This window comes from Homo sapiens, chromosome 17 (assembly GCF_000001405.40).
Source record: "Homo sapiens chromosome 17, GRCh38.p14 Primary Assembly".
NCBI classification, from domain to species: Eukaryota; Metazoa; Chordata; class Mammalia; order Primates; family Hominidae; genus Homo; species Homo sapiens.
The window spans coordinates 61127867-61145365 of record NC_000017.11 but is presented as its reverse complement, the minus strand read 5'-3'; the positions used below and the strand labels follow the sequence as shown (position 1 = coordinate 61145365).

General features: G+C 39.1%; 1 protein-coding gene and 1 long non-coding RNA gene across 11 annotated transcripts in view; one reads left to right on the top strand and one right to left on the bottom strand.

The window, feature by feature from the left end:
• The window catches only part of BCAS3 (BCAS3 microtubule associated cell migration factor), a 714981-nt gene that overhangs the window by 247466 nt on the left and 450016 nt on the right, over window positions 1-17499 (bottom strand). The gene's annotated exons all lie outside the window — the stretch shown is intronic.
• The window catches only part of BCAS3-AS1 (BCAS3 antisense RNA 1), a 101500-nt gene continuing 93354 nt past the window's right edge, over window positions 9354-17499 (top strand). For all 3 annotated transcript variants that reach the window (NR_186506.1, NR_186505.1, NR_186507.1), the window contains exon 1: window positions 9354-9499. This is a non-coding gene — a long non-coding RNA (BCAS3 antisense RNA 1). The remainder of the gene's footprint in view (window positions 9500-17499) is intronic.

Below are 17499 nucleotides of genomic sequence, written 5' to 3'. Positions count from 1 at the left end.
AGCGTAAATTTGGTCAGGCTGCTCCTTTCTGCAGGCCAGACCCCGCTGCTGCCCCAGGATGTGAACTGTCAGTTTGCATAGCTGGTGATGAGTTGCAGAACCATCAGCAAAGGTGAAGACGGCAGAAACAAGAAAGATTCAAGACTGGTGGAAATCATTTCACAAGGAAAATTTCAGCCATCAGTGGGAGGAAGCTTTGAAAAATGCTGCCATTTCCGAGTCAGAATGAAGGAAAAATTAAATTACTGCCGGTGAGGCGAGCCAAAGTTGCATCTCCCTCCAGGGAGAGTTTTGATAATGGTAAACATTTGACAGCTGGCCTGGAGTTGTTATCTTGTTCTAACAGTTGTTATGGTCTAAATGAATATTTCTGATAAGGAAACAGAAAGAAAATTTTAAGCACTTTTATATTTTTATGTTTTAAACCTTATGGTGGTGAGCCAAACAGGTTTAGAGCAATTTGTCACTGAGGGCCTACTCAAATGCTATAATGATCTTAATCTGCGAATCTTAGCAGCATCATTATTTCAGTTAATCTACATGAAGTAATTCTTTGAGGTAAATCAACTGACTAAGAAAATATCTTTGACCTTTAGCTTCCTCAGCAACCCGTAAAAACAATTCTGAGAGCTGACTTGAAGAAGTCCAGAAAATAAAGGGTTAACTAAAGCTAACTTAAATACATGCTCAAGAACACGAGAGAAATATTGTATTGTTAAATGACTACTTTTTTGACTATTGAGGATCAACAATCATAAATTTTCAAACTTTCACAGAGATGTTATAAAAAATATTAGGCCAAACATTTCAGAAAGGTAACAGAGATAAAGTAGTCAACATTTTAGGCCTAAAAAGGGCTGCTTACTGGATGTCTAACACTTTTGCATTACCAGAAGATAGAGAATGCTTGGAGGGACACTTCATTATGAAACACTTGCTTAATTCCTATATATAGCATAAGAAAACATCTGTGTGATTGTCTGAAATGTTCCAGGTCTTCACAGGCACTGGATCTGTCATAGTATCTAGACATACACGTAGAAGACTCGGAGGAGATGGTAGGGAGTCACTTGCCTTATATGGATTTGCTGATAGTTGTGTCTTCAGAGAAAGAAATGAAGTCTTCAGGATACTATAACCCTCCTTAAAAAAAAAATCCATGCTCCAAAATTTATTCTGCCTCTGGCATTCCTCTAGGCAGGAGTTTACCAGTGGCAAAAAATAGGGACAACGGCAAAAAAAAGAGTAGAAAGGAGTCAACTGTCCTCCTATGAAATGAACAAAAACTTATAACTTATTTTCAGAACACTTATAGAAAATTTGAGCATTACTTGCCTAAAATGTAATTTGCATAGGTTATGGGAATTTAGTATTTCAGAAAAAAAATTCTTTCTGATTTCATGAATAATCACCATCTACTTGGTGCTTCACACTGAGGATTCAGTCTCTATCCCAAAGCAATGGTAGGACACACTGGCCAATGAAACCAGCACCCCTAATTTGTAGGTGTCCTATCTTTCTGTGACTTATACTTTATTTATTTTATTTTATTTTTTTGAGACAGAGTCTTGCTCTGTCGCCCAGGCTAGAGTGCAGTGGCACAATCTTGGCTCACTACAGCCTCTGCCTCCCAGGTTTCAGTGATTCTCCTGCCTCAGCCTCCCTAGTACCTGGGATTACATGCACACGCCACCATGCCGGGCTAATTTTTGTACTTTTAGTAGAGGCGGGGTCTCGCCATATTGGCCAGCTGGTCTCGAACTCCTGACCTCAGGTGATCCACCCGCCTCAGCCTCCCAAAGTGCTGGGATTACAGGCGTGAGCCACCATGCCTGGCCCACTTATATTTTAGAATGTATTTGCAAGCATTATGTCCTGACCAAAGAAAAATTTTAAAGTCTTTACCTCTATTTTTCTTTAAAAAACAAAATCAGAATATCTACCTTTATTCTACATTTGTGGGAAGTAAAAATTTCATTATTTTTTTCCCCAGGGACCCGGCCCTGCCTTAATATGAAAGTATATAAATTGATATTAAAGTATGGTATTTTGAGAATGTTTCAAAGTAAGGTCAAACTGGTGTTAAAAACCCTACTAGTGAAGGCTAAAATAACAGTCTGGCTGAACAGTCTTAAGTGCAGCTGACTCCAATTACTAAGTACATCCTAGCAATGTTTTTTACTAACAAGAACAATGCAAGCAAGTTGAGTTCAAAAATAAAGTCAAAGAGAACTTACTCATAAGAAAAATTAGATAAATTATCCCAATACTGTAGCTATATGGGCATTTGATAGTTAACTTCTCCTTCAGCACTGAAAAAATTGAGTTCTTTTAATAAATAATCAGAAAGAGAGGTGAGGGAGATTCTAAAAGGGAACAAATGCTAGAAGAAAAAGCTTCTGAGAAAAACCAAGGGAATTTTGGATAAGAAAACATATACATAATCTGACCACTATAAAATCATGGAAACAGTACTTTCAAATAACTTTTAAAAACATTTTATTATGGAGAATTTTGAACATACATCAAAATAGAAAAACATAATAAAACCCATGCATCCATCATACAACCCCAACAACCATCAAACCAGGCCAATCCCGTCCCATCCACATCCAAATCCACTTCCCTCCTCCTCTATTATTTTGAAGCAAATCCCAGATGTCATCAAATCCATTTTTGTCAGATGCAGTACATGAAAAGGCAGAGATCTTCCAAGCACATCATTCTATATGACTGCCTCTTCCTGCCTTCACCTCTATATCCCCAAATCCATTTTTTCTGATGATACGTTCCCCCACCCTCCCCTGCCCCAGAATGTTGTTACTAATGCTAACTAGTACTCCCAGGGCACTATACAAATCTAGTTAAACAGAGAACATTTATCAGATACACAGGACTTTTGTTTTACATGAGGGCTGATGGCTTCCATGTACCCTTTCATTCTTAAAATTCTCTGACTCCTCCATGCAAACATCCACTTTGGATTGGATCAGTATTCCTCCATTACCAAAACTGGGGCCACATCATCTAGCATCAAGAAAGCCGCTGTACTATAGTAGTTAAGACATCAGCTTCAATTGTACAGATCTGGGTTTAAATTTGGCTCTGCCAATTACTAACCGGGCAAATAACCTTTTTAAGTCTTTGTCTCCTCGTCTCTAAAATGGAAATAATAACAATTACCTAGCAGATTGTCAACAAGATTAATGAGATAAGGTATATACAGTACATAGCCAAGTACCTTAATAATAAACTTAGCTCATTAAAAAAAAATAAAACAAGAGAATCTTACATGTAATAAACACCAATAAATGAGAAGGTGTATATATCTGGGGAAAAGGAGAAAATGAGAGTGGAAATAAGAGTAAAACTACTCCATTTAAATAAATCTTATCCTCAACAAACTTCTTTCAAGAACTTGAGTATCTCTGTATAATTGTCTAACTTTTTTTTTTTTTTTTTTCTTGAGGTGGGGTCTCGCTCTGTCACCAGGCTGGAGTGCAGTGGCGCGATCTCGGCTCACTGCAACCTCCGCCTCCTGGGTTCAAGCGATTCTCCTGCCTCAGCCTCCTGAGTAGTTGGGACTACAGGCGTGCGCCACCACGCCCAGCTAATTTTTGTATTTTTAGTAGAGGTGGGGTTTCATCATGTTGGCCGGGATGGTCTTGATCTCTTGACCTCGTGATCCGCCCACCTCAGCCTCTCAAAGAGCTGGGATTACAGGTGTGAGCCACCACGCCCAGCCTGTTTAAGTTTTAATAAGCTCATAATCTAAAACGTGGGTGATTCAACTTTTATTTTATTTTTTGAGACAGGGTCTCGCTCTGCCGCCCAGGCTGGAGTGCTGTGGTGTGATCATAACTCACTGCAGTCTCGAACTCCTGGACTCAAGGAATCCTTCCACCTCAGCCTCCCAAGTAGCTGGGACTATGGACTCCTGCTACTATACCTGGTTACTTTTAACACTTTTTTTGTAGACAGAGTCTTGGTATGTTGCCCAGACTGGTCTCAAATTCCTGGTCTCAAGCGGTCCTCCCACTTTGGCCTCCCAACATGCTGGGATTACAGGAATGAACCCCCATGCCCAGCCTAATTTAACTTCTTTATAATTGTTTCAATATTTAAGCAACCAAATGCCCTACATATGAATGTAAAGGCCCCTTGTTGAAGAATTTATGTACTTCAACATAAATTCGTAAATGTTGAACATTTATGACCATTTATGAACCAGTAGGTGTAAGTTCTTAGGGCAACAGAGGATGAATACTCATTACTGTGTTGAAATGAACCAGCCTAGTCCCGCTGTACAGGTGAATCAGGATAAAGAGACATGATAATGAAAAGTAGAAGTGGTAGCAATGATCTCTCACGGGCTTCATGCCTGCCCCATTTCACTATTATACTTTTGGGGGAAAAAAAAAACACTCAAATGGACAAAGAGCACAGGGAGGCATGCTTTTTCCTTACTTAACATTTTTCAGGATACTTGCAGATTAGTACAAGATTTCCCTTAAATCATGTACCATCAATCCACTACATTACAATCTGTAATGTGCCCAAAGTCATAGAGTCATTTCATAAGGAAAAGAACATGAAAGTTTTATGTAACAACTATAAACTATGTAAATATATATTTATTAACTTAAAAAATCACAAACAATTAGCTTTTAATTGACTTTACAAAGAGAGTTTTCTCTTTTCTTTTGCATTCCAAAGTTATATAAAGGCCATACTAAGATGGCCAAATGCCAGAGTGCTGTTTCTCCAGAAAAAAAAAAAAAGTGGAGAGATAAGCAACTTTTATGTGACTTTACAAATTGAATCCACTTGCAGTGATTACTTGGTAAATGTTTGATTGTGATAACCACTTAACAGGGTTACTTTTCTTTAATGTTTCAATCCTGCTGCCAGAATACTTTTCCCCAACTCAAAACCTTCCATCTCTTGTCCCCTGTTCCACATCTCCCACCAGCACTCTACTTTCAGAGTCTGGTCCTAACCTTCCTTGACAGTTGGATCTTCCACAGCTATCCCTCACATATCCTTTGCTATATATTCAAAGCAAACTTCCGTACTTTCCCAAATTGGTCCAGTATGTGTATGTCTTGGTGACTCTGTTCCTTTTTTTTGAGATGGAGTCTTGCTCTGTCACCCAGGCTGGAGTGCAGTGGTGTGATCCTGACTCACTGCAACCTCCGCCTTCTGGGTTCCAGTGATTCTCCTGCCTCAGCCTCCTGAGTAGCTGGGTTTACAGGAATGCACCACCACGCCCAGCTAATTTTTTGTATTTTTAGTAGAGATGGGGTTTCACTATATTGGCCAGTCTGACCTCGAACTCCTGACCTCAAGTGATCTATCCACCTCGGCCTCCCAAAGTGCTGGGATTACAGGCGTGAGCCACTGTGCCCGGTCATATCACTTTGTGTCTTGACAGTAGGTATCCCTTTCCTCAATCTTCTCCTGCCAAAATTCCACGTATTCCTCAAATTCTAGCTCAAACGGCATTTTTTCCATAAAACTTTCTCTGATCACCCATTACAACAAATTTTACCTTTCTTTGCATTCTGAGAGAACTCCATCTGCCTTATTCTATGGTCACTAGGGTTGTATTTTTATCAACTGAATTCCAAGTTTCTGGGGGCCAGGGAGCATGCCTTCTTCATTTTTTATATTCCCTACATCATGTAGCATGATGACTTTTAATCGCACTGAACTATACTGCATGTATGAGTTCTAGGAAACAGTCAATAATAGCATTTACACTTTTTCTGATAAGCAGTCCACACAAGGAATCCTTCAAAGGGAGTTTCTTAGGTAGCTCACCCACTCCTGAACATTATACATTATGGCTTCTGCTATAAACAAAGCCCGCACTGAGCCCAGATGATGTGTGCCCAGAATGCACAGGGTGCAGCCATGCTCTCTCGACAGACTGAGAAACTGAAGAAGGAAGACACATGTGTAAGAGGAAACACCAAAACCACAAATATGAAAACAGCATTTGTGAACCTCGTTTGGCCAGATCACAGACATCTTTAACCTTCTCGCACTTCCTTAAAGAAGCAAATCAGGAAATGAAGAAAAAAAAATCTTCACACTTTCTTTTTAAGTCCTCCAACTTTTTAGATTAGATCATCTATAACTCTAAGGGAAAAAATGTGTACTCTTTAAGCCTAAGAATGTATCCGTAATTCAGAACTTCTATCACTAGCAATACAAGTACAGGGGGAAAATAGGTATAAATAAAAAGATAACAATTCTTGAAAATCCAAGAATAAAAAATTCATCTCTGTCTCTAATTTTTTCTAGATCTAATAGATTTAATAAACAAATGTAAGCAAAAGCATAAAGTGGGTTTAAAAATAACTTGAAGATTACAGCTAATTCAGGATAGCATTTGAAATAAAATATTTTTCTTCTTTTTAAGAATGTACTGCTGATGAAAACCTATCAACTTATTATAATTTTCTTATCTTCACCATTCAAATCTTATGGGTATGAAAAAAAATATTCCAAGACATGGAATCCTCTGAATTTCCAAGTAAATAATCAGAAAAATGCCCAAAAAGAATTGTTACTTTTCTGCTGAATTCCTAAATTCAGCTGTCATTTGGATCAAGAGCCAAAAAACAAATGTTCTAGTAAAAAATTATAAGACTTCAATAAAGTAAGTCTCTTATTCCAATAAGAGTTCTTAAACACTGAAAACAATCAAATATACCACATTTATCCTTTTATTCCTCAATGCTTCAACACTGCCCCCTAAATGGATAATTTATTTTGTAATTACTACAACAATCAAGTCAGTAAAAAATGCAAAATTGCTTACAAAAAGATGTTCAGAAATGTTGAAGTAACACTGGAGTATGAATTTACCCCCAGCAGAGTAATTTGGTCTGTGTGTAAGTCACATAGCCAAGGTACAACAGTAATCTCTGAATCTGCACTGTATAACTAGGAGTTCCCACGTAGATACTCAACATGGATAATTTATTCAATCCAAATCTGCCGTCTCTGGCACCTAAGATGTTTGCTGGGGATAAACTTAAGTTTGTGGTTTTTGTCAAAGCTAAGATTTCTAAAGCTGTGCTATTCAAAATGATAGCCAATAGCCACATCAACTATTTAAATTTAAATCAATTAAAATTAAATGAAATTTAAAATTTCAGTTCCTTGGTTATAACAGCCACATTCCCAGCACTCAGCAGCCACATGTGACTATTATATTGGACAGCACAGATACGCCACATTTCCATTATCACAGAAAGTTTTACCATACAGTGCTATTCCAAAGATTACCAGCCTCACAGGTCCTAGGTTCTATCTGAAAGATGAGAACTGATGCCCTAAGAATTTTCTTTTGTTTTTGTAGGCTGAAAATTCAATCTTTATGATGATTCAAAATAGATTGTGCATGTCCTACCATATCAGGATCTAAAGATATGGAAGAAAACAGTGGCTCCTCAGTGGACTCAAAGGAAACACCGAATCAACCAAAACAACAACTCCCACAAAACAAAAACCCATCACCGTCCACAGAGTACATGGGCTGTTCTACTGATAATTCAGTTTTTAGCATTTTGTTTTGTTTTTCTTTTTGAGATGGAGTCTTGCTCTGTCACCCAGGCTGGAATGCACTGGTGCAATCTTGGCTCTGCAATCTCTGCCTTCCGGGTTCAAGTGATTTTCCTGCCTCAGCCTCCAGAGTAGCTAAGATTACAGGCGTGTGCCACCACGCCCAGCTAACTTTTGAATTTTTAGTAGAGACAGGGTTTCATCATGTTGGCCAGGCTGGTCTCAAACTCCTGACCTCAGGTGATCCGCCCACCTTGGCCTCCCAAAGTGCTGGGATTACAGGCGTGTGCCACCACGCCTGGCCCCAGTTTTTAGCATTTTGAACAAAAATAATGCTCCCATTATTTAGAAATTGCTCATATTTGCTATATGCACATACTATCTTTGGTAGGTATATGCATTGTATTCTAATCAAGAAATTCATTATGTGGCTGGCATGTGGCTTATGGAAGCAACATGGTCAGATGGAATGAGTACAGGCTTTGAAACTAGACAGAAGCCGAGTCATGTATCCCTTGATATATGCTTGCTAGTTACCTCGATTTTAAGCAATTTGCTGAATCTTTTTGTGTCTGCATTTCCAAAAAGTTAAGAAGAGATAAACAAATCAACTTCCCAGGTTTGAAGTCAGCATTAAATAAGATATATATATTTGGCATCAATGAGTACAGTATATGACAAAATCAGTTGCACTGGTGGCCACTGAGGAAAACAAATGGAAACCACCTCATAATAATGCCACTAATAATAACTAATAGTAAACCAATACTTTTTTTAAAAAAGTTTTATTGAAATGTAATTCATAATTCTTACATTTGATGTATACAATTCAATGTGAATCAACTATCTGAATAATTCAACATTTTCTCAGCACCCACCAGGGTCTGGTTACTGCTGGTTTCCAGGGTAGTGGTTCTTAAATGGGGACAATTGGCTGAGCACAGTGGCTCACACCTGTAATCTCAGGACTTTGGGAGGCCGAGGTGGGTGGATCACTTGAGGCCAGGAATTTGAGACCAGCCTGGGCAACATGGCAAAACCCCATCTCTACTAAAAATGCAAAATTAGCTGCGTGTGGTGGCACACACCTGTAATCCCAGCTACTCAGGAGGCTGAGGTATAAGAATTGCTTGAACCTGGGAGGCAGAGGTTGCAGTGAGCTGAGATCGCGCTACTGCACTCCAGCCTGGGCGACAACATCCAGCCTCCGTCTCTCAATAAATAAATGGGACAATTTTGTCCACAAGGGGACATTTGGCAATATTTGGAGGCATCTGAGGGAAGGGGGCGTGCTGCTATCTAACGGGTAGAGGCCAGGGGTTCTGCTAAACATCCTATATGATGCATAAAACAGCTGCACACAAAGAATTGTCCAGTCCAAAATACCTTCAGTACTTACGCTGAGAAACCCTGTTCTACAGATATAGAGATGAAGAAGAGACAGTATCTGTCTTGAAAAAGCTTACTGTCTAGTGGGTGAATGCAAGGTGGAAACAAAGCTATGTCCAAGATGCTCCAGGTGCAGAGAAGAAGAGGGGATGCTTAAGTAAAAATATTGGAAGATAGGAGCTTGCCATGGGTACTCAGGATGGAAAGAAATGATTTTATGTAGAGGGAAGAGCACGGGAAAACATTTAAATAGGTGCAAAGCATTTTGGAGTCTAAGAGGTGCTAGTAGTTGAGAATTGTTAGAGCTCAGGCTGCCGGTCGCGGGGAAGGCAGGCGCGAAGGGGTGCAGGGAAGAAGGAGGAGGCGGCGGCAGTGGCGGTGGCCATGGCAGAAGCGGAAACAGGAGCAGCAGCAGCAGCAGCAGCGGCAGGAGAGGCACACAGGAGCCAGATCCTAAAGGCTTTGTATGCCACATTAGGAAAGAATTTGGAATACAGCTTCTGTTTGGAAAACATTTTCTGTAACCAGCCCGACAGTAAGTATCTTTAGGCCGCACGGTCTCTGTTACAGCTGCTCAACTCTGCCATCATAGGGAGAGCAGCCATAGATAATACATAAGTGAACAGACATGACTCTGTTGCATTAAAACTTATTTATGAGCCTGACATGTGAATTTCATGTGATTTTCAGGTTTCATAAAATCTTCTTTTGATGTTTTTCCTCCCATTTAAAAATGTGAGAACTGTTCTAGCCCGTGGGCTGCATATAGACAGGGGGTGGCAGTAGTCTGCTAAGCCCTTCTATGATGTACACACAGGACCTCAAGGTGACAAGTCAGCTAGCTGATCAGTTAAAAAATGAAGCAGGGCATTTTCCTACAGATCTTTGGAAGTACTGACTGTCTTCTGGCTATTTCCAGCTAAATAACAAATGCACATGGGCCTAAATTTTGTCATTAGCTTGTTTGTAATACTTACAATGAAATGGTATGCTAATTCAAAGGAATAAAAAGCTTATTTCAGGCCACTGTGGTGAAATGACATTTACCTAATGCAGATATAAATTTTGTGTTAATTAGTGAGCACTTGACACTGATGTAATTTGATTAGTGTGGCAAAGTCAGTCTTAAACTTGCTCCCTAGTACTAACAGAATATGTCTTTGAATTAAGAAAATTAGGGCTAAGTGACAAAAAGTACCAGATAATAAGAAACCAAGTCTGTACCATTTATAATCATCTGTTATAATAAAGATAATACTAATGGCCTTATCATGTCATTATAAGAAGCATGAAACAGGGCACTTCACACGTCGCAGTTTAGGTGACCTCACTGTCTCAGTTCCGATTTGATCTCAAGTCGGATTCTAAAGTCTTCAAACTACTGGAAACCTCATATGTTTAATTTGGAACTATTTTCAAGCAAGAACTCTAATAACATTCCAGTTTTGAAGAAATACTGTATATCACTTTTACTGACTTGTACAAATGTTTTATTTCAAAAAAAAACAAAACAACAATCTAAGAGAAAAGTAGAGTATTAACCATTTGAAATCTTAAAACCCGTGTTTTGGATCTTTGATGTGGCTGACTCTTCATGAATAATTCTAGTTCTGTGATTTGGAGATGTTACTTAACTTTTCTTAGGAACAAAAAACTGATGTCAAAAAGGATTGTTTTGAAGGTTAAATGAGGTGTTTGTAAATATAATTACATAATTATATAGTACAGGCTCCATCAATGCTAGCTATCATTAACTTGAAATGTCATTACAATCACCATTTCAGTTTGTCTCTAAATGTCCCACCATAACACAGTTCTCTCGACTTTAAAATACTTTCCTATAATTCTAGAACCAAAAGGATCTAGAAATTGCTCAGTCCAATACTCTCATTTTATAAATGGATTAACTGACCAGAGTCACACAGGGAGATAGTAGAGGCTGGTGTAAAAAGCGAGGGCTCTGGAGTCAGACATGCGTGGTTCCGAATCCTCATTCCACCAGCTTACTGTGTCAATCCAGGCACGTTACTTTCACAAGACCTCAATTTCCTAATTTATAAAACGATGAAAAATGAGACAATGCTCATAAAGTCTGAGCACAGTGCCTAACAGTTGATTTTTAAAAAATCAACAAGTGTTCACTACTATTATTGATCCTCATCTTCTTATTACGAAATGGTATTTCTTCCCTTTCTTTTTAGGATGTATAATTGCTCCAGTGTTCATTATGAATGTGACTTTTATTTAATTCATACTGGCCAGACTATAGCAGACTATATGAAATATTTATTTTCCACATCAGGCCAACTCTACCTCTCCTCCCTTTTTGTATATGACTCCTTTGTTAGTACATCCCTCAATTTAAAATTACTTTGCAGTCTTCAAATGCTTTCATCTCTCCAACTCTGCTCCATTGCTCCTTGGAACACATATGTGAAAATCACATGCTAAGTATGTTTGCAAAATACTTTGTTAAAAGATTACACAGTAAGGAATCAAAGATGGTTTTTTGGGTTTCCTTTTTTTTTTTTTTTTTTTTTTTGAGATTCCAGGCAGTTGCAGGCCAATGAAAGTCACAGAAAGCACCCTTCCAATTCATTTGCTTCAGGAGGCTAAGGAAATAACCTATTTCCTCTTCCCTCTTTTCTATCTGGTTTTTCTGATGTGTTCCCAGATCCTCAAAGAAAGATTCAGAGATCCATGAAATCTTAATATGCCTGTTTGAAGCCAGGAAAAATAAATAACAGTATGCCAGTATTTCAGACTGGGAAGAGAGTGTATCAATACTTGAGGGGGAATTTGGTTCAGTCCTGAAAATTACTAAGTCTTTCTTCCCTACTTAACAGGGAAGTAATGTCAAATGGTTGAAATTTGCACGGAATTCTACTAGCCTGGAGGGTGCTCCTGAAGTAATCTTACAAACTTGGCAATTAGTCCAGCAGCCTAAATCTTTGTCTCTTGGTAGATGAGTGGCAGCAATTTTTGTTTTTTCCTACAGAACTTGTACTTGACATCAGTTAGCCTAACTCAGACCCTGACCTTGCCTTTGTATTTGGGGAAGAGTCTGATCTTCAAGATGGACCCAACCTCAATAGAAACAAAGTATGTGTGAAAGTTCTTACCCAACCCTTTTCTTAGTGTGTTCTATTTCATCTTTAATGCAGATCTTTAATCTCAGACGTTCATCAGAAAGGGGTAACATCAAATACTCCAAATCTGAGCAACATTCAACTCATTTGTTGTTGTTCTGGGGTTTTGTTTTGGTTTTGGTTGAGACAGAGGTAAAAAGCCCAGAAAAGCCATAGAGAGAATTTTAAATGCTGCTCTCCCACTAATGGTTATACCTTTTTTATCAGCTTCTTCATCTGATTGGATTAGATTTAAAATTTTCCTTTAGCCTTGGATATCTGACAAGATTCTTTCAGTACAGTGAGACTTTCTCCAAGAAAAGGAATCCACTTGATTGGATCAGAAACCACAACCTGCCTCTGGAAGTTAAACCTTTCAGTAGGTCAGGTCATGAATCAGGGGTGGTGGCATTTTATGAACCTTGCTTGGATTCTTTGATCTTGCCCCGTGACCCACACAGACCTGGTAAGGAGCTTCTTCTCATTGACGGGGATAGGGGAGTGGACTCTATCTTCCACTTCTCTTGTCTTTCCTTCTCTCCACCTTGCCTCCTCTGCATTTAACACAGTCTGCAGCACACAAACCAGGAGCATGTACAGTGGTGTGCTCTTGCTCCCTAGAATGTTTCACGGCTTCCAAGGCACTTTATCTTTCTCCCTCTCTAAGTATTCTGAATGTGGCATTTTGACCACTCAATATAGTTTAGAGACCCATTGTATAAGCCCGGCACAAACAATCTATATTCTTACCATTTATTCCAATGTTAGGGAATCTTCTGAAAGAAAACAGAATTTTGGTTAAGTTTGACCAGGGCAGTAGATTATAGCTCACATGGCCACAGACAGTGAGACTACCATTAAGATTTGGTAGATGCCCCAAGACCCAGGTCAAGCAACCATAATTATCTGTCAAGTTCTCACCTATACTCAAGTAGTTTTGGAATGGTGCCTTCAGTTACGGACTTAACACTAGATTTGAAACTTTTGACCTGGTTGTGTTTAAAATTACCAAGTGAACAGGAATTTGTTTTTTTCTGCTGGCATTCTGTCTTGTAAAAATAAGAAGAAGGGAAGGTAATTATAGGTACCTAACATCAAATTTAGTAAAAATCACTGGAAAAAACCAGAAGTGTGATTTAATGATCTGAGAAATTAGGCAAGTGTCAAGTCTGAAGAATTTTAAAATGGTTATAGGTCAAAGCATTAAAAACTTCTTTGGGGACAGAGTGGCTATAAGGAGAACACGGTGAGGTATCTGCCAGGGGTTAATTGCAACCCTGCATGAAAAGCAGTTAACAAGTGAGAATTAGAACACCCAAGAGGAAAAGAAAAATGTTTCCAGTGCCATGAGAAATAAACAACAAAGAAGAAATATTTCCTTTGGCTACCACTACCTCCTTTTCAAAAGCTCAGAGGAGCTATGGGGAATGCCAAGGACTGGTTTTCTCTCAACTCCCTCTGAAACATTTGTCTTCATTACCACTCTTTTTAATCAGGGCTCCTTCATGAGTGTTTCTGCTCAGCCCCTAAGGGGCAGCTCTGGTCTGCGATAAATCAGAATCCACACCGCAAGTCACTAATCAGCACTCTCAGGGAAAGAAAAACAGAGAAGTGCAGACCACTACAGGCTGCAAAGGCCTGGAGGCTCACAGACCTCAAGGAAGAAAGGCCTTTATGGAGAAATAAATTAATGAAGAAGGAAGGGACCGATGTTTAGGCTTTATTTTAAAATCTCAAATGCAAATTGTTCATACTTAATTATGAGTTTGGAATATAATTTCATTTTAAGCGTATAAAATATATTATGAATTTATTTAACGAATTGTAATTTATACCCCTGGCTTAATAATTTTCATACCTAATTCAAAACTTAATAAGCCCAAGGCAGAGGAACAGAGGATAAATTAAGATAATTAAAACTATCAAAGTCAGGGAACCCTCTGTCATACCTGCTGTTTCAGTGATGTCATTAGGAAATGAAACTTTCCAAGTAAGAACTCTCTAATGTCTATGATACGAGTGTTATTTTTGTTATTTTACTTAAATGGAATTATAATCATAAAATTACAAACACATAGTATTTTTTTTCATTTTGAAACTCTCTTAGAAATAACCTAAGAAAAAGTTAAATAGACTTGTTAAAGGTCAACCTAGCTAGGTAGTGGCAGAGTTTACTCTAGAACCTAGGTCTCCAACATCTTTTTTTTTCCCCCTTTTTGAGACAGAGTCTTGCTTTGTCTGCCAGACTGGAGTGCAGTGGCGCAATCTCGGCTCACTGCAACCTCCGCCTCCCAGGTTCAAGTGATTCTCCCACCTCAGCCTCCCAAGTAGCTGGAATTACGGGTGCCCGCCACCAGGCCAGGCTAATTTTTATATCTTTAGCAGAGACGGGGTTTTGCATGTTGGCCAGGCTTGTCTCGAACTCCCGACCTCAAGTGATCAGCCCGCCTTGGCCTCCCAAAGTGCTGGGATTACAGGTGTGAGGCACCGCTCCTGGCCAAGACCAATATTTCTTGACGCTGACTTCAGGAGCTAGAACAGAACTGGTTGGAGCCCAGCTAAACTAAAAAGGTCAGTTTGATTAGAGTGGGTGTGCTCCTAGAGGGGATGTACAAGAAGCATAGCTAGACTTTTTAAATCTCCATTCAAACATTTGAACTTCCTGGTGTAAAATGGGATACAACTGAAGATTCTTGAGAACAGGGATGACAGGATAAAAAGTATTTGAGGAAGAAGATTCTCACCATATTACGTAACATAAACTGGGGGAGGTGGCAGGGTTAGAGAGGCTTATGTTTGTGGGACCGATTTGGTTACTTCTGCAGTGTCCCAGGCAAGAGGTAATTAAGAATCGGTTTTGTGGTTATTCTAATGATTGGGGTCTTGGGTTGTATTGTGGTTCTTTTGGATACGAGAATTAATAAGAAAATTGTACAGATGAATTTCTCATAATTAATTGGGAAGATATTTTGCCAGTTTCTATGGTGCTCTGGGATTTAGAATTGAGAGAAATACTTGTGGAATTATTATTAAGTATTAATAAGCATGAGACGTATAAAAAAGTGTTTACAGTAAATTTAAAATTAGTCACATAAACTCAGTTAAGGTGAAAGTGGGTCTTTTAGCTGTCCACCAAATATGTGATTACAACAACTGGACAGATGTCATTAGAGCATCATCCATATGCTCTATCTTGGACCTGCCAGCTGTCTGAGTCACAGAAGCAGTGTGTAATGATGCTGTGGAATACAACATTGCCTTTATAAACAAAAAGCTACAAAACAAGAATCATTGGTGGTCTATGGAAAAGTGTTGGCAGTCTTTGTTAAGTACAGATAAGGATTTTATTTTTCTTTGAAATTCTGTAATTAAGACAGAAATAATGAAATGATCTGCTGTGAGAAATTACAGCTTTATAAACAAAAATGGCTTCTGTAGACCTTGAAGAGTAGCTCAATAGAAGGAATACTCAGATTGTAAGTTCCAAACTATGGACAAGGAAGGACATGAAGTCCACGGGAGGAACTAAAGGTGTCAAACAATGGTTCTGAAACTGAAGATCGGCACCTCCCTAAACAGGATGCTCTCCTTTTCTCCAACAGCACAGCCAAGGGCAGCAAAGCCTTCTATGTTTACAGAGCCAAAAGGATGCCGAAGGCCCTGGAAGTTGAAAATCAAGACTGGCTGCTGTAAAGCAGACCATCTCAGACGTATTCTCATTCCTGACAAATACCCACCCACCAGCAGGACTGGGAGACACATGGCAACCAGAGCAAGTTGTCAAAACTTATCATTATAAAACGTCCATCTTACAAAAGTACAACCTTTGCTCAGTGCAGTGTTTTCCTTAGAAGACAGCTCTTCTGAGAGCTATAAAAAGGTGGTTAGAATGGGTGAGGTTAGCTCTCGTAGTCTAAGCTAACAATCATGTTAAAAATGTAAAGGTGAATAATGATGGCAGAATGTTTTACAAACAAACAACAACAACAACAAAGAAATTCATTAATTATGTTCCTCTACTTCAAAGAAATTCATAATTTTTAGCACTGCTCTTTTGAGAAAAGAAAATTGCCTGTAAGATCTCTGGCCCTTCTCCTTTAATTTCCTTTCTTACTCCATACCCTCAGGTGGCTAGCCTAGTGCTACATGGCCTAGGCTACACATAAAGTTCACAGCTCTTTGCCTGATCTCCTGATCCTCTATCAAAACAGCACTTTCAAAAGTGTTTCCTGTCTAGCTCTGCCCTTGCGTGAGCGTTTCCTTGGCTGGATCAGCTGCCAAACTAAATCTCTCTGTTAGAAAACTGCGGAGAACTCAATATAGCCCTGTCCCCCTCTCCACCTTAGGCCTGACATCCGGAAGTGACTTAGGAAGTAATTTAATGGTTACCAAATTTTGGGGAACTGATTTAAATTTTCTGTGCTAACCATGTGTTTAGGAGAGACTACATCACTAATCATCACTTGACCTTGTGACAGACCAAAAGTTGCCGATTTTTTTTTCCTGGGGGAAAAAATTCTACCAGCTAGCACGATGATGTAAATGCAAAATCATGTTGTGAGACGACTGCCAATATGCTGGTTTCCAGATGTTTGACAGGACGATGCAGAAACAATACAAAAGAGGGCTAACAGTTTCTGTCACAAACTCTGCTGGGTTACTTGCTTTCTCTCTCTCCATACTTTTTTTATTTTATAAGTGCTGGGGATTGTGTATAGCAGTCAAACGATTCAAACGATTTGGGATAGAGAAGAACGGAAGGTTTGTCCATTGCTTGTTAACCTCTGTCTTTGAAAACACAGAACATTCTCCAAATCTATTATTATTACTCTGTTGAGCAATAACTGCAGGGTGATTTGTCTGAATGTATATCTACTGGTGTCCCACCTTTCACTTAAATAAGCCTGTACATCAAACAAATAAGAAAGGAACTGGAATGGAGCTCTGCATATTTCACTAAGTCTCTCCTCTGCATCTCAGCCGTAGATGAAATCTGATTTAAGTCAAAGCCTAACACGGCCTAGGCTGTCCTCATTGCATGGGCTTCATCTTCATGTACTCATCCTTGACTCACACTATTCCTGGTGGAAGGCTTCCTAAAAGAAAACCAGATTGAGTTGTCAGGTTTACAGTATCAAGGAATCTCTAAAATGAATGGGTTCTTTAAAAGAAAAGCCAAACTTTGGGTAATTACATTCAAACTCCTTAATCACATTTTCTGAGCTCAATGGGAATTGTGGTGTTCTTTGCTGAATGTCTTCCCCAAAGCCACACAAATGCAATACAGTCTTCCTTCAGAGGAAGGCATCCAACAGAATGACTCCTGCTTGGCAGAATGTTAATTTCAAGTATGTACTCCTTAAGTTTTCTTTTTTCACACAGAAGCAGTATGTATGCATTCGTGTGT